Below are 25,922 nucleotides of genomic sequence, written 5' to 3'. Positions count from 1 at the left end.
AATAATATTATGACTAAAAACAGTAAACTATATTTTTCCAAGTAGTTATTTTATGATTTATTACGTTGGTATTTCTCTGGCTACTAGTATTTACTTTTCCTAATGGGCTTCCTTATGCTTGAGAGAAGTTAGCATGGTAGGATGGTATGCTTCAGATTTTCATACTTTTGTGCCCCTGTTCTGTTTTTTTATATGTAAAGGAATTTTTAAAGTTACATTGATAGAAATATGCCTTTTGAAAATTACTCCTTTGGTGTTTTCCAGGTCTGTGGATTTAAACTTTCTTCCATCGGTTGATCCTGAAACAGTTCTTCAGACAGGTAAGATTTAAAAAATATTTGTGATAATAATCCAGTAAACCAATTGGATTGATTCGTTCATTAAATAAACATGAATTCAGCATGAATGTGGTACATGTGGAAGGAACTCAAGGGGAAATTTTTGAGGACCAGGGACTGGTTTTGTGGAAGACAGTTTTTCTGTGGACTGGGTGAGGGATGGTTTCAGAATAAAACTGTTCCACCTCAGATCATCAGGCATTAGGTTCTTATAAGGAGCACACAACCTGGATCCCTCGCGTGCATAGTTCACAATAGAGTTTGTGCTCCTATGAGAATCTGGTGCCGCCACTGATCTGACAGGTGGCAGAACTCAGGTAGTAATGCTTGCTGGCCTGCCGCTCACCTCCTGCTCTGTGGCCCAGGGTGGGGGTGGGGGGAACCGCAGCTTTATAATATTTTTAAAAATTAATAATAATCTCTCTCTTAATTTGGATTTAATTTATTATCTATAAAATGAAGATGAAAATTTTTATTTCACTGGGTTGCTATGAGAATTATTGAACACTCCTTATGTGCCAGACATTGTGTTTATGTATTTTTATTTTTCATTCTCCTAACAAGCCTTTGAGATAATTAGTATTATTTTATCTATTTTGTACTGCAGGAAGCCAAAATGACTTGCCGAAGATCAAGTAACTATTAAGCTCTCTCTCCATAGCTAAATCCAAAGCCAAAGCTCTACTGTTTTATAATCATCGATGTAAAAACACTTATCACCTTGCAAAGCCTTGCACATAGTGCAAGCACATAGTGCTGCCTGATATGTATATTCCAACCCAAATATCTCTAGTAGCAGTTTCACAAACTCTAAGAGAATCAAATTGTAATTTTTTCCAATTGAAATACCTCAATTTTATTTCTGATCTTTTTTTTAATAATAGCTCATAATTCTAATCCTACTGTGTGCCACATACTGTCTGAGCACTTTACATATGTTAACTCATTTCAGTCCTGTGAAATAGATACTATTGTCATTCCAATTTTAAGATGGGAAAGCTGAAGCATAAAAACGTTAAGTAACTTATATAGGTTACACAGCTAGTAAATGCTGGAGCTGGGACTTGAACCTAGGCAGTTTGATTTCAAGGCATGCTCTTTGAAATCATTATGCTATGCTGCTTCTCTAATGAAAATGATATCGACAAGAAAAATAATCAAGGGTGACAATTGTCAAAGTAGAAAAAAATAAATGTATTCTGATATTCATAGCTTTTATGAATATATATAAAAAGACTTTGCACAAACCTTTAAAACAATTATTTTTCCAATTATAAAATGTAATAAATAATAAAGAAGTAAATTCTGAATATATTTGTTGTATTGATTCAGGTGTCCTAAGTTCTTCCAGTATGATATACAGCTTATTTTGTTAGAGAACAAAGAAATACTTGTAATCTCTGAATTATTATATATTTAGCAGGTACAATAGACTGTCAGTAAAAATACTGCTCTAGATTTAAAACTTAATTCCATATATATGTTTAGCAGCTTGAAAGCTTTTTATTTTAATTCATTGAATTAAGAAGCTTTTACAATTTCTATTGTAAATTTAATTTTATATGCTACTAGGTCCTATTTTATATGCTATTAACTTTTAAAGTAAGTATTGAAAGAGAGTATAAAACAAAAAGGTTTAGAACAATCATGGGTACTTTTAGAAATTAGAAATACCTCCAAACCATAATAAAAGTTCAGTTGCTATATATTGAAAGCCATTTAAATTTAAGATATTATTCTAAATAAGGAAGAGAATTTAAATATGTGTATTGTTTTGATGCCTGAATATTAGTCACAAAAACAATTTTTACCTTATTTACTTTTAAAATTATTTAATATCTACAGCTTTAGTTGTTGCACATTCTACAATTGTAGTTTCTCATGTATGAGTGGATTTTCTACATGAGTTTGCTGTAATTGAGTCACATTCATTGCAGTTCTAACACTAGTATGGCCCGTTATTATTCACAGTTAATATATTGTGAAGATTCTTATAAATAGAGATTATATAAATATTATTTTGTACTTGTAATAAAAACTTTTCTCCCTTTAATCATTCATTTATTATACTGTCACCTTTTTTTTAAATGCTGTGATTGAGAATATGGATTAATACTGAAATCCTACAACATATTACTTGGATTAGTACCATCAGACAGAAATCCCACAGTATAATTTTGCTCTACAGGGAAATAGGATTGTTTGGCACAGTATCCTGAGTAATGAATTCACCAATAACAAAAATGTGATTGATAAAAAAAAATATAAACCGTATGTATGCCATATTTAATATGTAGTATAGTATTTCTAAGGTGCGTATATTTATGATATATGATATAGCATTTTAATATACTATCTAGTTTACATAATATATATGTACACACACATACACACATATATATATTAATATGTACAGTTTTCCTACTTATTGTGATACATACATTTTTAAATTCCATTTATAACCTGGTAGATATGTAGGTAGATAGGTTTTAAAAACAAGGGACTAGAATTGGGAATATTGAGAAGTGAGAATTACATTTCTTTACAGATATTAATTTCAAGTATCTTTTATTTGTAAAGGGCATGAATTGTTGTCCGAATTACAGCAGCGTCGATTTAATGGCTCAGACGGAGGGGTTTCATGGTCTCCTATGGATGATGAACTTCTTGCACAGCCACAGGTTATGAAATTATTAGATTCACTCCGAGAGCAATATACCCGCTACCAGGAAGTTTGTAGGCAACGTAGCAAGCGCACACAGTTAGAAGAGATTCAACAGAAGGTAATGCAGGTAGGTGTCTGATTTGAATATATTTAACTCTTTTTAATTCCTTATAATTTCTACTATGTGACTGACTATTAAGTCTTATATACACTATATAGAAAACCTTAGAACACATCAAACTGGATTCTAAAACTTTTAAATTATGTATTGTTTTACAAATAGTATTTGAATTAAAAGTTATGTTATTTTCACAGTGATGACATTGAGCATTCAGCTTAGTGTAACAATGAACTTCAAAAATAACTGGTTCTTGGAAACGTCATCAGTGGTCTCAGTGTATTCTTGCAATAAATAACATTTCATTATTGATACTTGATTTATTCTTAATTTCTAATAACTTAGTTTTTTGGTTAATTTAGGTATTACAAAGAGTATTTCTATCCTAACAAAATAACACATGTAATGCAAATGATTCTAATATCAAATTTTTTATAATATTGATAGAAAATATTAAATGTATTTAGTTATTAGGAATTTTAATTTCTTTTAAACTTTATTTTTATAAGAAAAGTAGGCTAAAATACTAAAGGGAGACATTTCTGTTATTTAGATTACACTCTGGATTTTTATGTTGAATAATTAAGAAAATAAATCTTCGAATATTTTATTTAAAAATGCAAACTGGAAACGTCCTAGTTTTTAAATCTAGGTTCATTTACTCATTAGATAAACATTTATTAAGTGATTCCTCTGTGGAAGGCATTGTGCTAGGTTTTTTACAGGATATAAAGGTAGACTTGGTTTTTACTATCAATAAGTTTAGGGAGAGAAAGTGTTAAGGGTCACAAGGACATGACTGAGAGGTTATGGGCAATTATAGGATGGATTATTTCTCTAGCTTCAGGTAATCTGGGAAGACTTAGTGGGGGAAGTAGCATTTGAGATTGTCCTCCCAGAATGTATCTGATTTCACCAGGCAGTGATAGGTTTTGAAAGAACTGGCATTTTGTGGAGGATGAAGAGTAGCATGGTAAATCATAGCAGCGTAGAATCCCAAGTTCTGTTGAGGAAAAAGGAAGCAGTAGGCACAGTGGGAAGTGGATGGCCTTTTTGAGTCATAGAGCATGATCCCAATCCCAGTTTCTTCACTTAGCTGTGTGACCATTCACGATACTTCACCCCTGAGCCTCGCTTGAACTGTCTTCTTTCTTTCCTCTTTTCCTCTCTTTCTTTCCCTCTCTGCCTTCTTTGCTTAATTGAAACAGGAATAATAATACCCCTTTTGAAAGGCTAGTGTTTGGAAAGAACCCAGCTCTCAATCAGTGGTAGTTATTATATGTATTTCTTTTGAACTAGACTCTACTCTAGAGGTCTAGTGTAGTTGCTGGCAAACTTCTGTAAAATTCCAGACATTTAGACTTTGTGGACCATACGGTCTTTCTTGCAGCTGTGGCTGCTTAACTCTTCCATTATAGTACAAGAGCAGATATAGACATTGTATAAACCAATATGTGTGGCCATTCTCCAATAAACTTTTATTTATTATACAAAAACAGGTGGTGGGCCAGAATTGGCCTGCACAATTGATCTAGTTCGTGGCTTCTCAAATTAGAGCATCAAGATGTCATGGGAAAAAAAGATTTGAAAGGAAGGAAGGAAGGAGTTGGATCATGGAAGATGTTGAATTTCAGGCAAAAGGATTTAGAATTTATTCCATGATAACCACATATAAACTGGAGATTTCTGAGCATACGTTAATTGTATGTGGCTTTTTCCATGGACTTCATTCATAAGTTAAAGGGTTTGTTTTAAATTCAGGTAAGTTTTAGCCCATTAGCTTATCTTAGAAAACCACTAAGATAGAGTAGCAGAGCAGTACAAAAATCATATTCTGAACCCAAATAATCTGAATCTACCCTCTTCTACCACTTCCAAGCTGCTTGACCTTGGGGAAAAGGAAGGTCCTTATGTCATAGTCTCCTCTTCAGTAAGCAAAGGATAACAACAGTAACCGCAACAACAATAATACCTACTTAATAGGACTGTTACAAGAATTAAAGAAGGTAATTTTTATAAAATATTTAGTGTCTGGCACATAATGAGTCTTCTATTAATAACATCTATTAGTTCATCCATTCAAAAAAAAAAAAATGTCTACAATAGTATGACATTGTCCTAGGCTCAGCAATGTCATGATGAGTAAAAATAGGGTTCTTGCTTCATGGGAGATAATTACATGATGACACAAACAGCTGTGAAATTGCAGCTATGCCAGGTGCCAACAAGGAGAGTGATGGGAGTAGGATTAGGATGAGTAAGAAGATATTAGAGACGAATCATATTTCTGACTTGTAAGACTTGGTGTCCTAGTTTGCAAGATAATGGTGTTGCCCACCTAGGGAACATTGGGCAAGATTTGGATATTACTGTGGATGCAAAATAGTGTGGAGAATCATGAGTTTGGTTTCAGACTTGTTAAGTTTGAGGTGACTGTGACTTCTAAGAGAATATGTAGAAGGGTAGTCCACAACAGGTCCAGACTTCGAAGTCTGGGCTGGGGTATATTTGTTTGTCATCTGTGCGTGAATGGTAATTAAAAGCATTGATGTGATTGAAAATTGTCCGAAGAGAAAGTTGAGAGAGGTAAGAAGAGTGCTTTAAACTGAACTTTGAGAAACTCTGACATTTCATGGCAAGGTAGAGGAGCATACACCTGAAAAGAAGGCAGTGAAGGACTGGCCAGAGATGAGAAAGTGTGAAGAGTTCTTTGTCATGGAAACCAAGGGAAGAAAGCATTTCAGGGAAGGAGTTATAACCCTGTCAAACGCTGTTGTAAGGTTGAGTAAAAGGACTTAAAATGTCTGTTAGAAAGCACAAGATTGAGGTCACTGGTGACCACAGGGCATGGAGTGGCAAGGCCAAGAGCAACAGTGGAGTGAATTCAGGAATGAAAGGGAGGTGTGGTGAAGGAAGCAATGAGTATAGACAAGTCGTTGATAACTGTCTCTGAAGGAAAGATGAGAAATAGAGTAATGGCTATAAGTGGTGGAAGAGGGGTTGTATTGCTTTGCGAGGGCTGCCGTAGCAAACAGACTAAGTGATTTAACAACAGAAATTTATTTTCTTGCAGTTCTGAGATCAGGATGTCAGCAGGATTGGTTCCTTTGAGGGCCGTGAGGGAATGCTCTGTTCCAGCCTCTCTCCTTGACTTGACGATGGCCATCTTCTGCCTGTCTTCACATTGTCTTCTCTCTGTATGTGTCTGTGTCCAGATTTCCTCTCCTTATAAGGATACCAGTCATATATTTAGATTGGGCCCACCCTAAAGACCTTATTTTAGGTTAATTACCTCTTTAAAGACTGTCTCCTAATAAATATTGTTAGAATCTGAGGTACTGTGGGTCAGTACTTCAACAGATGTATTTTTGAGGGGAGGGACACAGTTCAGCCTATAGGAGGGGTAAGGATAGTTGTTCTTTCTTTTCATGATATGAAAAACTTTAAAGATTGCTTGAAAGTGTTGAGGGGGAGAGGTTGAATACACAAGAGAGAAGGAATAATTAATACTATCGAGTTCCCAACAAGGTGGACGTAAACGGAATCAAAGCACAATAGAAGGGATTCGCTTTAGAATGTAAGAGCGAGAGCTCCTTCTGTGTCGCAGGAAGGATGGCTAGGATTACCATAGGACCATGAGGTTCCTCTGGCCAGTAACAGACCAGTTACACAGACAGCAGGAATACAGCAAAGTTAATTATTGCAGGGCACCGAGCAAGGAAATGGGAGGAGACCCTCAAATCCATCTCTTCGAGGAGTTCTGAGCTGGAGTTTTTAAGGGGATCATGTAGGGTAAGGGGCTGGAAAATTGGGGTTGTTGATTGGTTGAGGCAAGGGAGATGAAGTCAGCAGGATGTGGAAACTGCATCATTGGTGAGTCGGTGTCTTGTGGGGCCCCTCAGACCAGGTGAGTCAGTGGGGTCCTTCAAACCAACTGGCACAGTAGTTTTGTCAGTATGCAGGACCTGAAGGAATGTCTCAAAGTGAAAACTTAACGATTCATAATGTTTAGGTTGTTATCTATAGAACAGTTAAGGGGAACTATAATCTTGAAACAGGGTCCATGATTCTAGGTCAATAGGCACCAAACAACTATGAGGAAGCAGGTGAAACTGATCTGACCTAACAATTAATGTTCAACATGCTGCAAGCTTGGTATATTTTCATTTCTCCCCCTTCTTTCTTCCCTGATTAATTTTATAAAGTTTATAGGGGCGGTTTTAGATGAGTCCAGAGGTGCTCTGTATGTAAATCAGGCATCAGGAAGTTTGAAGGAGTCACTGTGTGATGTGTCTTTTTTTCATAAAGAGGAAAAGGCCATCTGCTTGATGGTACAAATTGCAGGGGTGATGGTTAAAGAGGATCAGTGGTTTGAATAGAGTGGAGGTGATTAAACATTTTCTTTGTGGGGAATCGAAGAGTGAAATTATCACTGTCAACCTAAATAACAGTGAGGGGCTCTTTAAAAGGAAGATATTATTTGTTTTAGAGAATAGAACATTACAATGGGAATATGCATGTCATGGTAAGCTGTGTGCATATTCAGAGAGGTAAAGGAAGACAAACATTTTTAAAGGAAAAAAATGAGGATTACATAATTGTTTTGAAATAATTGTCTTTGGTTCTAAAGATCAATAACAAGGGCGATGAGCCTCTGATATTGGACAGGCAATTGCTGGACAGATGTCCTTGTGGAAGGATTTTTTTTTTTTTTTTTTTTTTTTTTTTTTGAGACAGGGTTTCAGTCTATTACCCAGGCTGGAGTGCAGAGACCTGATCATGGCTCATTGCAGCCTTGACCTCCCAGGCTCAGGTGACCCTCCCACCTCAGCCTCCTGAGTAGCTGGGACTACAGACACATGCCACCATGCCCAGCTGTTTTTTTGGCGTGTATTTTATGTAGAAATGGGGTTTCACCATGCTTCCCAGGCTGCAGAAGTATTTTTTGTGTGAAGTTGCAATGCCTTTGTGTATAGTTTTGATTTTTGCAGTCCTTTGTGATAGTTTTTGTTAGCAGGCATACAAGCCTGAGAACCTCTCACCATGGCTTTCTCTGGCACTATTTGTCAGGGTTCTTTATTTTTCCCCCAATATTAGTGACTCCATTTTGATTCGGACAACTTTCACATCACAAAAATGTAGCTGTATTTTGGGGTAGTGTTGATCTTGAATGTATTGCAGAACCTTTCTGGCTTTTTATGTAACCCTATCTGACAATTCATGGCTGGCTGTTGAGGTTCAGGCACCAAAAACATGGGTGACAGGATTTATCCAGCATTTTTACTTTGCTAAATGGGTTAAGTGATTATGACAGAAAGACAGAGGGGCAAAGGCGTTAATGTATTGGCAAACACATTTTTAAATGACAGACCAGCTCAACTGGGTAAGGAAGAAACTGGAGAAAGGAGATGACGATTATTATATTTATAATGATGGTGATGATGGTAACGAGATTACTGTTAAAAACTGGTAAACTTCATATTCAGTTTTCTTTATCAGGATAACAAGTGAATTTGTTTGAACAATAATATTCAGCATATAATGTTTTCTGTACTCTGTTTTTCACAGGTCACATTTTAAGGAAATATCTATATCCCTTGCGAAAATGATTACTATATGATAATATATATTGAACTATATAGTAACATTGATCATATGTTGGTCACACAGAGCACAAATCATACTATTTTCAGTCTTACAAATTTGATGAAAATGTGAAAATTTTTTTGCTTGTTTAAAGATAATTATAAACTGAGTATCTCTGTTAAATCAGTGAAAATTGAATTGTTTCAAACTTCTTTTGTTTTTAATGACTCATCACTGAAAACAATGCAAGAGGAATCAATTGCTTTGATGGATAAATTATATAAGTAATAACCATGATATTTATCCGTGATTCCCCCACAGTTCAAATTGGTAGCACAAGACTTCATGTGGTATGCAGAGATTCTCCATACTGCTGCTGCTGTTACAGTTAAAAATTAGATTTCACATGCTTCTGGATAGCACACAGTGCCACTTCACTGAAATGTGCTATCATTATGCTCATTATTTATTGTGGCAGTAATTACTGCCAGCACTGCAAATGTTATTTCTAGAATCATCCATGTGCTTTTCTTCCTCTGTAGAGAGGAATCATAGATGCCAAATAGAATACACTGCATTGCATAAGCATACAGCTGGAGGCTGTATTCTCAGTTCTCCATACTCTTTCTCCAGGTTAGATGGTTGACATTTGCTTGACATGCCCTTCTGCCTGGTTTGACTTTGCATACTTCTACATGTTCTGTCATGCAGTTTTTAAAAATGAGCCTAGCCATGCAAGAAGCATGGATAGTCACAAGCATTTTTGGCCAGTGTAAATATTTTTCATGGTGGATTCTAAAAGCATGGCTCCAAGGTTATACTTTGCATGTAAATGTAACCATTTGAAGGGTCACATTGATATGGATTGGGGATAGAACTGTTTTTCCAGTAAGTTAATATTCAGATTGATTGAGCAAGATGTCCTGGTTGAAATTAAGTTATAACCTAGTTTGGCAAACTGCCATTATTAATGCATTTAAATAGACTTGTTTACTGGGGCATCAACCTCAATTTGCATCATTTTTATTAGAAATAGGCATATTTACTGTGTCTACATTACTGATGTTGTATACTAAGGGAAATTACTTTCAGCCTATATTAAGGCCATATATATATACATATATATGTCCATTACTATGTAACTGGTTTTTTGAGGCAAAGAGATATCTTTGCTTTATTTAAGATTTATTTTTCAATTTACAGCATTTTAAAAGTTCCATGTTAATGAATTGTTTATCCCCAGCTATCACGATTTATATTAACCTGCTTCTTTTGTTTCTAGATTATTCTAAAATCAAAGTCTAAATGTTTAATGATGTCTTAAGTTTCTAAAAACTATACATTGTTAGTGAAATTTTTTATATGCATTTGTTCCACTTTTATTTTTAGAACTTAGATATTTCTAGTAAAATAATTACATTATTTAAAATACTTAAAAGTCATTTTATCACTATGTTTCTATATCTGTATTTGTAACACATAGTGATAAATGAGAAGCAATTGATTCCCAAAAAAGACATGGAAAATTGTTCTAAAATGTTTACCTATGTTTCCTTAAAACTCGTTCTTTTTATTTCTGTTTCTTAAAGTGTCGGATACAGTAGTTCAGGGACTTTCTCAAGAAACTCAGGGTTGTTATTGTAAAATGCAGATGTGAAATAAACTCCATAAAGAGTTAGTGGACGGAGGGAACTAGGCTACAGAAAAAGTAAGAAAAGCATAGAGGCTAACAATTATTAGTATCATTAATGTGCTGTCTTACATATAATGAGTGTCATAATCCTGACAACAGCCCTGTACTGTAGGTATCATTAACATCATTTAAAAGATGAGAAACCAAAGTCTTTCAACTAGAAGAAGCAGAGCCGGAATTCAGACCCACCAGTAGTGGCAGAATGAGAATTCAGAATTCAGAATCATGGCTAGGGCTTTCTTTATATCGCACTGCTTACCTGTCTCTTTCGTGAAAAAATGATACTTTCCCCAAGCTAGCAGAGAGAAACAGAATCCTAGTACCCTAGCCCTCCAAAGATAACTCATACAAAAGAGTAAAGCAGAAAAAGTGGATGTGTTGAGGAAAAAACCATTGCACTCTAAAGAGCATCTGATAATACAGTTTTGAAAATGAACTTAGCGCTGTGTAAACAGTGTTTAGCCAATAGAAAGTTATAGCACTTAGGCTGTTCCACTGAGTCAACAATAATACTTTGACTTTTTTGTTTTTGAGTTTTGCTGTCTAGATTTTTGGGTTTTGTTTTTCTTGAGACAGGGTCTCACTCTGTCACCCAGGCTGGAGTGCAGTGGTGCAGTCTCAGCTTACTGCAACCTCCGCCTCCCAGGCTCAAACGATTCTCCAATCTCAGCCTCCTGAGCAGCTGGGACTATAGATGTGCATACCACGCCTGGCTAATTTTTGTATTTTTAGTAGAGACAGGGTCTCACTATGTTGCTCAGGCTGGTCTTGAACTCCTGAGCTCAAGCCATCTGCCCACCTCAGCCTCCCAAAGTGCTGGGATTACAGGTATGAGCCACTGTGCCTAGCCTTCTCTCTAGTATTAAGCCTTATAAAGAGAAGGGACAAGTTTATATATTAATTCTTTAAGACTCTAGAACATAAATGAACAAAGAACATGAAGAGATAAATCACAAAATATCACATACCTTGAATAAGCAAACATTTGCAATGTATTCAATCACTAATCTTTAAAAAATATGGAAAGATTTCTGTTTTTTCAATTGGCAGAAGTATTTTAAAAACAATAGTCAGTTTGGGCCGGGGGGCGGTGGCTCACACCTGTAATCCCAGCACTTTGGGAGGCCGAGGCAGGTGCATCACGAGGTCAGGAGTTTGAGACCAGCCTGGCCAAGATGGTGAAACCCCATCTCTACTAAAAATAGAAAAATTAGCCAGGTGTGGTGGCGGGCGCCTGTAATCCCAGCTACTCAGGAGGCTGAGACAGGAGAATCGCTTGAACCTGGGAGGCAGAGGTTGCAGTGAGCCATGATCATGCCACTGCACTCTAGCCTGGACAACAGAGCAAGACTCCATCTCCAAAACAAACAAAAAACAACAACAAAAAAACCAATAGTTTGTATATGTTATAGAGGTTATTGTAGATCAAACTATCATTAATTGGTGGATGTTTCAGATAGAAACGAGTTTTAGAGAGCAATTTTATAAAGTATATTAACAGTCAATAGTTTGTATACCTTGTAGAGGTTATTTACAGTTCAAACTGTCATTAATTGGGTATTTCAGATAGAAACAAGAGCTTTAGAGAGCAATTTTGTAAAGTATATTAACAAGCATTAGTATTACATCATCATTGGACCCAAGAAGATCTCTATTGGAAAACCATTCCAATCTCTATTGGAAACCTTTTCTGGGAAAATAAAACAGAGAAAAAAAAACATTATATATAACTGCTATATATGTGTTAGTCATAGAATTACTTAGAATTGATGGAAATTGGAAACATCCTATGTTCCCGACAATAGAGAATTGAAGTATTGATAGCAGGTACAATAGTTATTTGAGGCAGTACGTTACTTAGCTCTTAATAAGAGTGGGTTGATTGGTTGCTTGGTTGGACAGATAGAAGAGATGGAGGCAGGCAGGCAACAGGATTGGCCTTCTGAAAAAAGGATTTGCAAAGTCATTGAAAATTATGTTATAATAACAATAGCCAAGTGGAAAAATCATTAAAGTATTATAGTTTAATGCTAAGTGAAAAACGGGATGAAAACTACTTGTTATCTATGAGAATTGGCTATAACACTGAAATCTGGAGTAGCATATGAAAACCCTTACGCAGGTGAAAAATTAATGGAAGGAAATAGAATATGGTTGTCCCTTGGTATTTGTGGTGGATTGGTTCAAGGACGCCCTGCAGACTGTGGATACCAAGATCAAAGATGTTCAAGTCTCATATAAAATGGCATAATATTTGCATATAACCTATGGATACTCTCATATACATTAAATCATCTCTAGATTACTTATAATATCTACTACAATGCAGATGCTATGAAAATAGCTGTTATAGTGTACTGGCTTATTATTTGTATCTTTAAATTGTTGTATTGTTATTTTTTTGTGCTTGATTTTTTTTCCCAAATATATTCAATCTGTGATTGGTTGAATTCAGGCATGAAAATCTGTGGATATCCAAACAGGGCTGAGCGCTTATGTGATTTTTCTTTATGATGTGGTATTTTTATATAATTATAAAAAGATCCATAAACTGTTAGATTTAGAAATATATTTTTTTAACCTGGTAAAAGCAGAAATGTATATCTGCACTGCTCTTTTCTACGTTAAGCCTACCCACTGGGTCTATAATATTATGCTGCAGAGATATCCCCATTCACTTCTTGGGAGCTATCCTGAGTTTAGATTTAGGATATAACCATACATCTATTCTTAAATTCCTTTTTCTAATTTGGCAAAAGGTAAAGCTTGGTAATACCATTTTTTCCACTAAAATTACTCCACAATGTGTTTGTAGTTTCAGAGTGTATATGATTGTGGGTAGAGTGTCAGCACAATCCTCTCCTTCTGCATGAGAACTTGATCTTTGCTTAACCCTTTAGCTCTGTTCCCCTGAAGACCTGATTAAAAATTGGAATGTCAACTACGTTACTAGGCAATATTGCTTATAGTAAACATTATTCCAGATCTGGACTGGGAGAATTATTAATATATGATGGAAGGCATAACTTGGGGTGGGGATCCTTGAGTTTAGTGACTCATAATGGGCATAGTCCTGTGGGGTATCATGTTTTGATGCCAGAGTGTCTCCCATATCTGCCCCATACTGATCTCATCTCCTTATACCTGCTTGAGGGACTCAGCTGAAGAACTCCTGATGCTGTCATCCTGGCAAACTATAGTTCCCACCCTATATCCTTACTAGCAGACTGGTGCCAGTGGGGCCTTTTGTGGGTCTGAATGTTGGTTGATCCTAAGAAGAGTCCAAGAGGGTATTTATTACATTAGCATAATTCTAATTAGTTTTTAATTTTATTTTTGAAGTGATAAAGTGGTATATTAACTTTATAGTAGTTAATTCAGTCAGTTTTTTCAATGCTTGGGAAGAACATTAGACTATGAGTTAGAACATATGGCTGTTAGTCCAGTTTTTCAATAATGGATTATGTTATCTTGGGCAAGTCACTTAATCTGTTTGAAACTCAGTTTTCTTAAATGTTAGTTAAGAACTTTGACTGATATCATTTCTGATGTTTCTTCCAACTCTAAATCTTATGATTCTCTGATTCTCTTTTCGTAAGTTAATTTTTAATCCTCTTTTATAGAAGCATTCCAGATTTCTTTTAGCCTGAAAGATAATCAGATAGCTGAAAGCTTGTGATGCTACAGTGTACATTCTTCCACATTTAAGTTTTGAAAATGTTGTCACATTATAGCTGTGTAGTTCCAAAAGAAACATTTACTGCCTATGTGATAGAATGTAAATAATTTACATTAAAAATAATTGGGGAACTTTGGGAGGGGAAAAATAAGTTAGAATGAAAGTTTGAAAAGTTTCTGATTCTTTAAAAAATGTTATCTCAACTTTTGTTTATAGGTGGTGAACTGGCTAGAAGGGCCTGGATCAGAACAACTAAGAGCCCAGTGGGGCATTGGAGACTCCATTAGGGCCTCCCAGGCCCTACAGCAGAAACACGAAGAGATTGAGAGCCAGCACAGTGTGAGAGGCTTTTTCCTCTGCAAGTTACAATGATATTATGAACGTGGGTAATTAGTAGCATATGTGGTACTGAGTGATAAGTTGCTGCAAACTTTGGTATGGGGCATGAAGTACAGTTTGTTAAGTGCCTAGAGGTCATAAAGTACATTTTGATTACTTAGTACATGTTAATTAGAAGGTTGTTTTTGGTTTTGTCTCTAATGCAGTTTAATTATATTTTTATAGAAGCACAATTTGCATGAAATTTTAAAAGCTACAGTGACAGAAAAAAGAGTGATAATACAAAAATAGAGCTTTCATCTGTAGTCTCTGTGACAGAAACTTCTGTTTTCAAGTCCCCCTCACCCCCACTTTATTGGGAGTATATAGTACAATTAAATGCCTGAGAGTGATAGCAGAATTGCTGCATTAAACACAACTGATGGAGAGTAAGTCCAGAGGGTGCAGAATATTTTTCCATTCTCTGAGCATTTAGGGGTCCCTTTTGTATTTGTGAAAGGGGTAATCAGACAAATCACAGGTATAAAATTGGGAAATAAATAGATTCTTAAGCAGATTATAGATAATAATTGTTAAAGATAATTTAAAATTTAACAACTTGTTATGTGAAAGAAGCTGGTGTTCGTTAATCTCCTGCTCTGTTACAGTTAATTCTTCATTACTGAGAAAGAGATCATCCAGTTTGTGGACGGGGTAGCTCACCCCCCTCTCCCTAAGGTCATATTACTTTGGTAATTTAAAATAGATTAAATACAAAATTGGAAAAATAAAATTTGAATCCATTAATTCCCTTCTCCTTAGGTTGTCTTAAAAAAGGTGGTCAAAATGTTAAACTCTGGACCCAGATGAGCATTAAGTACCGTCGGAACATTAATTTCTGCAACGTTTCTTCTTTCCTCTAATTATGTTGGATAGTATTAGGAAATGTCCATTTTTAACTAAACAAGATTAAAGAATAAGTAATATGGTTTGCTTGGGAATAAATTTGAATGAATGAGTAAATCTCATCTTTACTAGAATTTAACAATATCTGATTCTTATTTTTCTTCTAAATGTATTCCATTTTGCTTAGTTTCCTCATATTGCTTTCTTTGTAATGTTCTGTAAATCAGGTATAGCAATTACTGGTATTGGCAGAAAATCTACTACTATACCCTAAAGCAGTTGTAATCTAGCTGAAGGAATAATAAGAGATATTACAAGATTTGGAATTGTCTAAAGGCACTACATATATATTCCTTGCAATTTTTCTAATTAGTACTTGTAAAAAACTTGAAAATGAAATCTCATAATTGAAAATCGATTTATTTTATGCATTTCACAGGTTCCAACATAATGGTTCTTCCTTTTATACTAAAATAATCATATTACAAACCCTGTTCCTGAGGATATAATCTTTTAATTCTCTTGGTACTTTTAAAATAATGTTTTGATTTTTTTTTTAACATGGATTGTGATTTGTTTGAACCTGGTAGACTGTTCTAGAACATGTTACTATAGTTAGAGTCTACAATTTGTTCCTCTCTTTAGTTCCTAAAAAACTGTATTTACTCTAGAACATTCTAGACTTCACCTAAGGGGATTTAGTTATGAAAGTATTCCAAAAGTTCTTTTTAGGAAGGACACATGGCACATGAGGATTCTAAAGACAGGATTTATCTATATTTTATTATTTTTTTTAAATGCCAAGATAAATAATTACAGTTAGAAATTGGATTGTATACATACTGTACTGTACTCTAAGTTTACAAAAAGACTTCAAAAGCAAATTTCATATTGCGTATAGTATGGATGAAATTGCAGATGATGTACATAGAAATTGCTATGTTCAGATGTTGGTTTTGTATTTTTAATATATTTATAAGGTTTTCAAAATCAGCTTAAAGAAACATCGCTTAAGGGTGGCCCTTCCCATGTGCTTAAGCTTACTTATAATGTGGAACCAATATATAAAACTTTTGAATTGCAAAATACCTTATAGATTATTCTAATATCTTCATCTTACTTTATAGATGAAAAAACTGGGAAGCTACGTTTTTTGATCAGTGAATAGTTGGACTATTGTTAAGACACAGATCTCTTGATACCCAGGGGGGATCCTTTCTCTAGCTGTCTCTTAGAGAAAGCTACTAAATTTTACAGATATGGTTAAGCTACAGTAGTTTTTCATTCTTGTACTTTTAATACTTAGGAATGTACATATACATTGACATCTGCATTTATAGACATGACCTAAAGAAACATTGATGGCTATCAAGAGATTTTATTTCCTTAAATCATGTGTGATATTTGGGTTTTGTTTCAGAATTGGGAGGTAGGAACAGATTGAATGGATGGGAGTGTATGTGAAACAGAATTACCCATGAATTGATCATTATTGAAGCTGGATAGGAAGGAGTTCATTACACTATTCTTCCCACTTTTGACATATTTTTAAAAAGCCAGTTGTGCTGTTTTAGCCAATAGGTGGCACTGCATTGTCACCCTGAGAATAGGTTGGTTGATGCTGGATGAATATTTTAGCTTATGATGTTTAAGATATTCTAATATTTTATTAAAAGCTTTCTTTTCTCTCTGTAACTAAGAGTTAACAGATTAAAGCATTATTGGAATTGTTCAAGTCTTGTGAAAGTATGACTAATTTCTGGCATTGACAGCTGTTAACGGTAGAATTTGAGAAAACTTTTAACATACAATCTTGCATTACCAGCTCAATGTCATATATTAAATTTTATGTCATATATTAAATTTTAGAGTCCATATAAAAGCATAATGCAGAAATAAAGCTAAAAACCCCAAATTTGTTAGGATATTAAGTTTTAATACATAGAAAAATGAAATTTCTGCCAACCTGTAGTTCTAGTTCAAGGATTGGTAATTAGAAGTTAACTTGGTTTTTTAATAGAACACAACAAAAAAAATAAGGTACATGAAAATGGTTATAGTAACTGACAATAAATTTAAAAGCAGTTTAGTTCAAAAATCTAATTTTATGTTTTGGGTTGAAGAAAGTGTGTGGTAGGAAAAGCGTGTGTGATAGGAACATCGAGGAGCATAAATATCTGAAACTACTTCAGAATTTTGTCACTATCCCACCATCTCATAGTGCTGAGTTCTGGTCTACAAAGAAACCACTTTCTCTGGTGCATTATGCAGAACAGGTCTACCTGGCGAATCAAGACTCATTTCTCCTAATGTGTAGTCTGAGTATAATCACCTTTTTAACCCGAGTTGGCACTGTTTCCTTCTGCCTACATATGGATTCACATTTCATGGTATAAAGTATAAATATCCATCATTTCACCAAGTATGCGTCACTGCCAACATGATTGCATTGTCAATCCTGACTGCTTGTGTCCTAAATGTGAACCTTCAAGCCCTTTTCTTACCATCTCAATCCAAATCCCATATATTGGTGTTTTTTTATTTTGCTATAAAATAATCATTTTCTACACAGTTAAATATACATAAGAGACAGACCGGAGAATGGCTGTAAGTGAACAAAATACACCTAAGGTTCTAGGCAGTCTACATTCTACTGGGTTTTTTTTTTTTTCTTTTCTTTTTTTTTTTTTTGAGACAGTGTCTAGCTCTCTCGCCAGCCTGGAGTGCAGTGGTGCTATCTCAGCTCACTGCAACCTCTGCCTCCCAGGTTCAAGCGATTCTCCTGCCTCAGCCTCCAGAGTAGCTGGGATTACAGGCATGCGCCACCACACCCAGCTAATTTTTGTATTTTTAGTAGAGACGGGGCTTCACCCTGTTGGCCAGGATAGTCTCCATCTCCTGACCTCGTGATCTGCCCATCTTGACCTCCCAAAGTGCTGGGATTACAGGCATGAGCCACTGTGCCCGGCCGTACATACCCGTTTTTTAGGAAGAAACATTTGGATGACTTTTTTTAAATACATGCAAATGTATTAGCCAGATTTTTTTGCTCTCCACATCCCAGAGAGACTATTTCTTTATGGCAACCTCAATCGGTAATATCAATGTCTCTAATTTCAGGTGTTAATTTCTTGAGACATACTAGTCCTCACAATGTATTTACATCCCTGGTCAGGTTGCTGGAGCCTATATTTTACAAATTCAAACCAGGAAATAATTAGCTCCACAGTGGTGATTCCTAAACCTTAACAGGCATAAGAGTCATCAGAGATGCTTGTTGAAATATATATTCCAGGGCCAACTCCAGATACTGATTTAGTAAGTCAGGAGTGAAGCTTAGACATTTTTAATAAACACCCCAAGTGGTCTAATGCTGGTAGCTCTGAAAAGTGCTATTCTAGGACTCTAATCCTTCACTGCTTTTCTCAGAATCGTTGCTATTACGTCTTCAAAGAGTTAAGCCTATTTATTTAGAGCATTTAATGATATGTAAGTACTATGAATAAGGTATTGAAATCCTTTTATATTTTAGAGCATGACAGTGATAATTTTCTGAGGTAATATTTTCTACTTTAAAATAGTCTCTGTTAACCATTATAAACTATGTAGTTTAAAAATATTCTATGCTTGTTATTGAGTTAAATCCAAACAATAACTGATAAACAAGGTAAGACAGATATTATCATCACCATTGGATATAGGAGGATTTCTCATCCTCAGCAGACTCTTGAGACTTTGGGCCAGATAAATGTCTGTCGTAAGGGCTGTCCTGCACATGGTAGGGTATTTTGCAGCATCACTGGCTTCTACTTACTGCATGCAGTGGCATCCCCATTCCTCAGTTGTGATAACCCAAAATGTTTCCAGACACTGCCACATGTTCCCTGAGTGACAAAATCACCCTCTGTTACCTACTTAATGTAATGTCAGTAAATCTACAGTGATTAATGTTTTATACCTTCAATCAATGAATGTTAATTGAGCACATACTATGTGTCATGTGTTGTTCTAGGCTTTTGCCATATAATACTGTCTTACTATATGGAATTTACATTCAAGTTGGGGAGCGGAAAGCAATATAGGTATAGATTTTAGGAAAGGCCTCTCTGAGGAGATGACATTTAATCAGAAACCTTGAAATGATGTCGAGAAGTAATCCAAACAAAGGGCAATTCAGATAGAGGACACAGCAGTAGAAACACCCCAGCACAGGAAGATGATTGAGGAACAGCAAGAATGTTGGTGTGGCTAGAGTACAGGGAGCAAAGGAGAGTCACAGAAAATAAAGTTTTAGAGGAAGTCAGGAGCCAAAACATGTAATGTCTTTTAGCCCATGAAAAGAAACTTGAAATTTATTTTAAATGTTATGTGAAGTTATTTGAAACTTTTGGACAGATAATTAATTTATGTTTTAAGCAAATCACCGGCTATTGTGTGGAAAATAGGGAACAGAGACTAGCAATGAAAATGGAAGGCGGGGGGCTGATAGATGGAGGCATTAGAAGTAATGAGAATTGATAGAAGTTGATGAGGTTGAGCCAGCAAGACTTGCTGATGAAAGAATCAGGCTTTTGGCCTTAGCAGCTACTAAGGCAGGGAGGACTGCGAGAGGAACAGGTTGGGAGGATAGTGAATCAGTGTCTTTGGTGGCAGGTTAGATTTTAGATATCTAGTAGTCATCCAGATGAAGGTGGCTAGTGGGCAGTTGGGTATCAGTATCTGGGGTTCATGGGAGGGGTCAGTGTTGATGATTAATTTGGTAATTCTTAGCCTATAGATGTATTTAGAGCCTATATTAACTTGGTAGTTCTTAGCCTATAGATATATTTAAAGCCTATATTAATTTGGTAATTCTTAGCCTATAGATCTATTTAAAGGCATGGGACTAGGTGAAGTCATCCAAACCCAGTGAGAAGAAAAGAGAGCCTCTGGAAAACTGAGCCTTGGGTCAACCTAAACTTTAAGTGCAAAAAGAGGGAGGAGAGCCAGCAAAGAAGGCTAAAAGGAGCTGTTGTGTCTCAGAAAACAAGAGAAAAGGCCATTTGAAGGAGGAGGAAGTGCTTACTTGTGCCAAATGCAGCTGTTTGTTGAGAGGTTCAATAAAATAAAGACTGAGAATTGACCATTGGATTTGTGGCAAGATGGAATTTTTTGGTGAATTTGACAATTGGTTTCAGAAGGGTGGGAAAACAAAATCCTGATTGGAATGGATTAAAAAAAGAATGAAAAATGAGAAAAGAGTAAATACAGAGAACTCCTTTAAGAAAAAAATTTTTTTTAACTGAGGTTTAATTTCAGCGTAGTAAAATGCACAAATCTTAAATGTGTATTTTATTGTTTAATAAATTACAGCTTATTTATATGCTGGTGGAAATAATCCAGTTGAGACAGAAGAACTGATGGGAGACAGAGAAGATAACTGTGAGAGCAAAGCTTTGTGTAGGCAACAGAGATAGGCTGTAATGCACAAGTGGAGTGGTTGGCCTTAGAAGAAGAGACAGGCGGCTGATTATTACAGCTCTGAGGGCAGAGCATAGGGCTGTAGAAGAACGGAGGGTTGGGGATTTGTTGGTGGGAAGATGAAAGAGTTTTCCGATTACTTCCCAGTGAATTAAGATCTTTGGCTGAGAATGAAGAAGTGAAAAGGGAATTGGAGACTGATAGTGAAAAAAACATAAATGATCATGAGAATGAGAAAGTGAATTTACTAGAGAAACATAAAAGGATTGCCAAAGACTCATTTGAGATTATTTAGTCATAACTTTAAAAAGAGATCTGTCAATCCTTTTGTAGTTTATAAGCATGATGATGGGTGCTCACACTCATCTGAGATGTGTCTCCCTCTAAGCCTTGTAACAACATCAGCACGTTACCCTTCTGATGTGAGGGAAAAGAGAGAGAGCGCTATCCACCTAGTTGTTTTTAGTCTACCCATGTTCGGCTACTCTGGTACAGGCACACATTAGGCAGAGAAAACAGATCTCAGGTTTCAACAGGTCATTCTGATGGAAGGAAAGAAAGCCAGGCAGGGGCATGGGTTATATGCTGGGAGGTGGTTATAGCCTTTGATCAAGGATGGAAGTGAGGACAGAGGTTCTCATGTGCTGGATGGTAGAGAGGTCAGTAGATTGGTGGATTCCATGGGATTGTAGGTGTGAGCCTACAAACAGAGGTGAATGGGAGAGTCAATAGGTGGTCAGAAAATGGGTTTCATGAAACAGATTTTTGGAGCTACATAGTAGTATATGATGACACGTTTTTATGGCCAGTGGAAGAGGTAGCTGAGTTGAGGTGAGGACAAGTTAGTTGGAGGTGAGGGAGGGAGTCAAGGAACTGGAGGTTCAGGATGGTGGTGGGTGCCTATGTAGTGGAAGTCACTAAGAAGGCTGATGCTGAGAGGAAGGCAGTGTGACCTTTGCTAAACCCTTCTGTGGATGAGGTGATACCACACAGAAAGCTGAAAAGATGTAATCTAACAGCATGCACTTCAAAGGGGATACGGTTTTTTGAAAGAAGAGGGAAAATAAATGGTCTGCAAGTAGTGAGGAACGAGGCACCCAAACCCACCTTCAGGCTTGCAGTATGTCAGACATGGAAACAGTAATCAGTTGAGAAGGCTGCAGGGGTGACTGAGGGCGGACAGGTTTCACTTAGAGCAAGGAAGAGAAGAGAACATTTAGAGGTCAGGGATTGAGTTCCAGGGATCACAGGATTAGGAACTTTCCACCCTCAATTTTAATAATTTTGCCTTAGAAAAAAAAAATCATGTATTACTTAGTTTATCTGGAGAAATTATAAAATGTAATCTCTTCCAGGAACTAATTTGAGCCTTAGTTTACTTTGTAACATCTTGATTACAGGAATGGTTTGCAGTGTATGTGGAACTTAATCAGCAAATTGCAGCACTCTTGAATGCTGGCGATGAGGAAGATCTTGTGGAACTAAAGTCACTGCAGCAACAACTTAGTGATGTTTGTTATCGACAGGCCAGTCAGCTGGAATTTAGGCAAAATCTCTTACAAGCAGCTCTTGAATTTCATGGTGTTGCCCAAGATGTAAGTGTCTATTCTGATTCTTTTCTTTTCTTCAAATTATCTGAACACTTACCTACACGTAATTTTTTTCAGGTTTGCATGCCTCCTAAATTATTTTTCTGAACCAATAAAATGAATTACTGGTGGGGGTAATGAGATAAAATTCTTTGATTTTTTTTAAAAACAAGTATTTTTTAAGTCATTCTGCATGCAATTCAACCTTTTATTGTCTAACTAGAGTGTTCCAATCTAGTAGAATATTTTATTTTGACTCCTTCTCAATGTTTATGCTTTATAACTTAGATGGAAATGGAAGTCTCAATACTTTTTTGCATTCTGCTGACCTGAATGTACTTCTTTGTCTTCCTGGTGCATGCATCTGTGTGTTCTGTCTTCCAGATAATGCATATTCTAATGATTCGTCCTTGTCTTGTAACAGTGTAGTCTTTTCAAGTGTAATTGTGATAACCTCATTAGATATAAACCTCATTAATCATTAAACACTTTAGATGCTGATTACATCAGGGTTATCTCTTTGGTGTCCCTCTGCTTTAGTTGTCTCAGCAGTTGGATGGCTTATTAGGGATGTTGTGCGTAGATGTAGCACCAGCTGATGGAGCATCGATTCAGCAAACTTTAAAACTGCTTGAAGAGAAGCTGAAAAGTGTTGGTAAGCAGATTTTAAAAATGCTGAAACATAAGGTTTTTTTTTTTTTAAATATCATTACCATGGTTAGACAATTAAGTCAACTTACACTGAACTAATTAGTATTATTTTCAGGAAACAGAAAAATAGTATAAAAAGATTTTATTCCCTTGAGGGGTTATAATTTATGCTGAAAATTTTATTTTTCATCGTTAGTTAGTCACTCCTCCCTTCACTGGGCCTTTACCCTTGCCTGTTTACCCAGCTATATCTACAGGTGCTGTGTCTTGCATATACTATGAACAATTATTTGTAGTGCATGCATGAACTGTAATTAGCTGTGAAATGTTCTGTGGTAAATCCTGTATGCCCAAAATTGTGTTTTATGCAATGATTTTTGTTGTTGCTTTATCCTAACCTTGTGAAAAAATAGTTGGTTTGGTTTTTTGGTTCTTGTCTCACCAAACTGGGAATATTGTCAGATTACCCATTCTCCAAGGAGTGGGGTACATTTACATTAAGGGGTCCAGTTACATTAAGCTGATGTAGGCTTGATGTCATTTGACATCAAGGCCTTTAGAATTTTTCTACAGCAGGAAGCACAGTGAACTTTCCTAAAAGGTCAGGATGTGACAATGGGAAGGTGGGGAGTCGTATCAAGGGGGGACAAAAGGGGAAATGGCAATGGAAGAGAGGAAACAGGAACTTAAGGCAGAGAACTAGTAAAAAGTGGTTGCACATGACTAAACCAAATTATTGAAAACTGCCTTAGGGAATTGGTTTGAAAAATCACACTTGTACTGACATTTTACTTGCTTACAGCCTTTGTTATTTTATTTTTTTGAGATGGAGTCTTGCTGTGTTGCCCAGGCTGGAGTGCAGTGGTGCCATCTTGGCTCACTGCAACCTCTGCCTCCCCGATTCAAGTGATTCTCCTGCCTCAGCTTCCTAAGTAGCTGGGATTACAGGCACCTGCCACCACGCCCGGCTAATTTTTGTATTGGTAGTTATAGTAGACATGGGGTTTTGCCATGTTGGCCAGGCTGGTCTCGAGCTCCTGACCTCTGGTGATCTGCCCACCTCAGCCTCCCAAAGTGCTGGGATTACAGGCATGAGCCAGCGCACCTGGCCAGCCTCTGTTATTTTAACAGATGGTATGCATAATACATATTTAGTGTTTAATATGACAAATGAATTTTCTTTTAAAATATTAGTTTTCTTGAGCCACAGTCTTTGTTTAAAAAAAAAAAGTTCCTTTACACATGTAATTTGGAGAATTGTAAATATACCCTAATTGTTGCTTCCTATGGTATAGAAGCTAGACTGTATCTTTAGTCACAATGTTCAACATCCTTTGACATTGATGATACATTGCTGGAGTGTCTTAAAATTTTGCAAGGCTTATGCGCTTTTTTAAACAACATGTTTGCCTTGTTCTCCTATAAGTTGGACAGCATAAAAGCAGGAAGAAAAAACAGAAAATTGTTTTCTATTAGAAATAGGAATTTTCATATTTTTCTTCTGCTTTCATTTTTTAAAAGTAATTATTGTCTATGGAAACCCATGTTTTCAAAATTCCCTTTAGGGAGAATTTGGCATGAGAGAGAGCTCCAATTCGAGTTACATTTAAAGGGTTTTATTGCTTGAAATGTTCATAGGATGGAGTCTTGGGATTCCATCCCAAGGTGGTTTACTGTACAAAGCTCCTATACTTGGGATCCAGGTACAATATCTGATGAGACGATTTGTTTGAGGGAGGGAAAGCGCCTTAGTTGTGTAAGAGATTAAATCTAGTAACTTTTGTTTTAGATGTGGGATTGCAAGGTTTGCGTGAAAAAGGTCAAGGTCTCCTGGATCAGATCTCCAATCAGGCATCCTGGGCCTATGGAAAGGATGTAACCATTGAAAATAAAGAAAATGTGGACCACATACAAGGAGTGATGGAAGATATGCAGCTTAGAAAACAAAGGCAAAGTTTGACCGTTAATTACTTTTTACTAAAATAATAACAATATTAGTTAAAATGAAGTTATATAACATTTTATATACAGACAAAACGTTCTTAACTGTTATATAGAAGACATGTAGTAGGTTTTTGGTGAATGTGATAATTACTGTATATAATTTTACTAACATAGTAATAATTTATTCAATTATTAGGTACCATTTTCCTTTTTATTGGGTTGTAAAAATTTCAATTATACTCAACTATTTCAAATTCCATATCCCCAGTGTAGTCTATGACTCTTCTGCTTTAAAAAAAACTTACTGAAGAATAATTTTGCTTTTTAAATTTCATTTAGTTTAGAGTTGCCATTAAACTTGTCATCTACATTGATCTGTTTCTTCATCTAAACTTACAGAATGTCACACATTCATTGTTCTCATATTTGCTGTAGGAGGATTAAACAGTGGACTAGTGATGTTTAGTTTCATTTTCTATAAAACTAGGAATTCAAAAGATTCTTTGAAAACTCAGTTTGCAATAGCAACTACAAAGTATTGCAAAGTAAAGGATTAAAATTATGCAATATACACAATCTAGCATGGTTATATGAAATTTTGCACACTTAAAAATTTTATGATCATCAACAAAACTTCACAGAAAGCTTCCTTCTGCATCACAGAGAAAACAGTCATGAGGCAGAAATTTCTTCCCTCATATCTGCAAACTTACTTTTATTCTGTCACCACAGAGGATGATAGAGCTCTCCGTTTATATCAAAAAATATCAAAGCTGAGCTTCCATTTAGGCTCTGATTCTGATCACCCTCCTGACTCCTAACTCCATCAAATCCCATTCTCTACTCTGGTTCCTGCCCTCACTTAAATGCTTAAATTTCTCCTGTTTTAAAAATAATAATCACACATATGGGTACGTCTTCCTCTTCAACTCTTTGTCTTTTAGCATTAGAACTCTTCCTCACAGCTAAGTCATT

The 25,922-nt window shown here is 35.9% G+C and overlaps 1 protein-coding gene and 1 non-coding gene across 7 annotated transcripts in view, besides 2 other annotated features; both read left to right on the top strand.

Moving 5' to 3' along the window:
• SESTD1 (SEC14 and spectrin domain containing 1) overlaps positions 1 to 25,922 on the top strand; it is a 163,155-nt gene that overhangs the window by 118,111 nt on the left and 19,122 nt on the right. For 5 of the 6 annotated variants that reach the window (NM_178123.5, XM_047446274.1, XM_047446273.1 and 2 more), the window contains 6 exons: positions 265 to 320; positions 2,919 to 3,130; positions 14,296 to 14,418; positions 22,164 to 22,358; positions 22,893 to 23,007; positions 24,793 to 24,952. In NM_178123.5, coding sequence (NP_835224.3) covers positions 265 to 320; positions 2,919 to 3,130; positions 14,296 to 14,418; positions 22,164 to 22,358; positions 22,893 to 23,007; positions 24,793 to 24,952 — 861 coding nt within the window. The remainder of the gene's footprint in view (positions 1 to 264; positions 321 to 2,918; positions 3,131 to 14,295; positions 14,419 to 22,163; positions 22,359 to 22,892; positions 23,008 to 24,792; positions 24,953 to 25,922) is intronic. The other variant, XR_007084411.1, reaches the window with a different exon arrangement.
• Positions 5,313 to 5,482: an enhancer, noted in NCBI's record as "experimental_56716 CRE fragment used in MPRA reporter constructs". NCBI's record gives its function as "activates a minimal promoter by MPRAs in K562 erythroleukemia cells, with activity observed for both the introgressed and non-introgressed 2:180006052 variant alleles {active_cell/tissue: K562}" and the evidence as "EXISTENCE:reporter gene assay evidence [ECO:0000049][PMID:34662402]".
• Positions 8,034 to 8,203: an enhancer, noted in NCBI's record as "experimental_56714 CRE fragment used in MPRA reporter constructs". NCBI's record gives its function as "activates a minimal promoter by MPRAs in K562 erythroleukemia cells, with activity observed for the non-introgressed 2:180003331 variant allele {active_cell/tissue: K562}" and the evidence as "EXISTENCE:reporter gene assay evidence [ECO:0000049][PMID:34662402]".
• LOC124906166 (small nucleolar RNA U13) lies at positions 21,085 to 21,186 on the top strand. The gene has a single exon (XR_007088754.1). It is a non-coding gene; the product is annotated as a small nucleolar RNA U13 (small nucleolar RNA).

This window comes from Homo sapiens, chromosome 2, assembly GCF_000001405.40.
Source record: "Homo sapiens chromosome 2, GRCh38.p14 Primary Assembly".
In the NCBI taxonomy this organism is placed as follows: Eukaryota; Metazoa; Chordata; class Mammalia; order Primates; family Hominidae; genus Homo; species Homo sapiens.
Note: the sequence above shows the minus strand (reverse complement) of the source record. Positions and strands in the feature narration are given on the sequence as shown.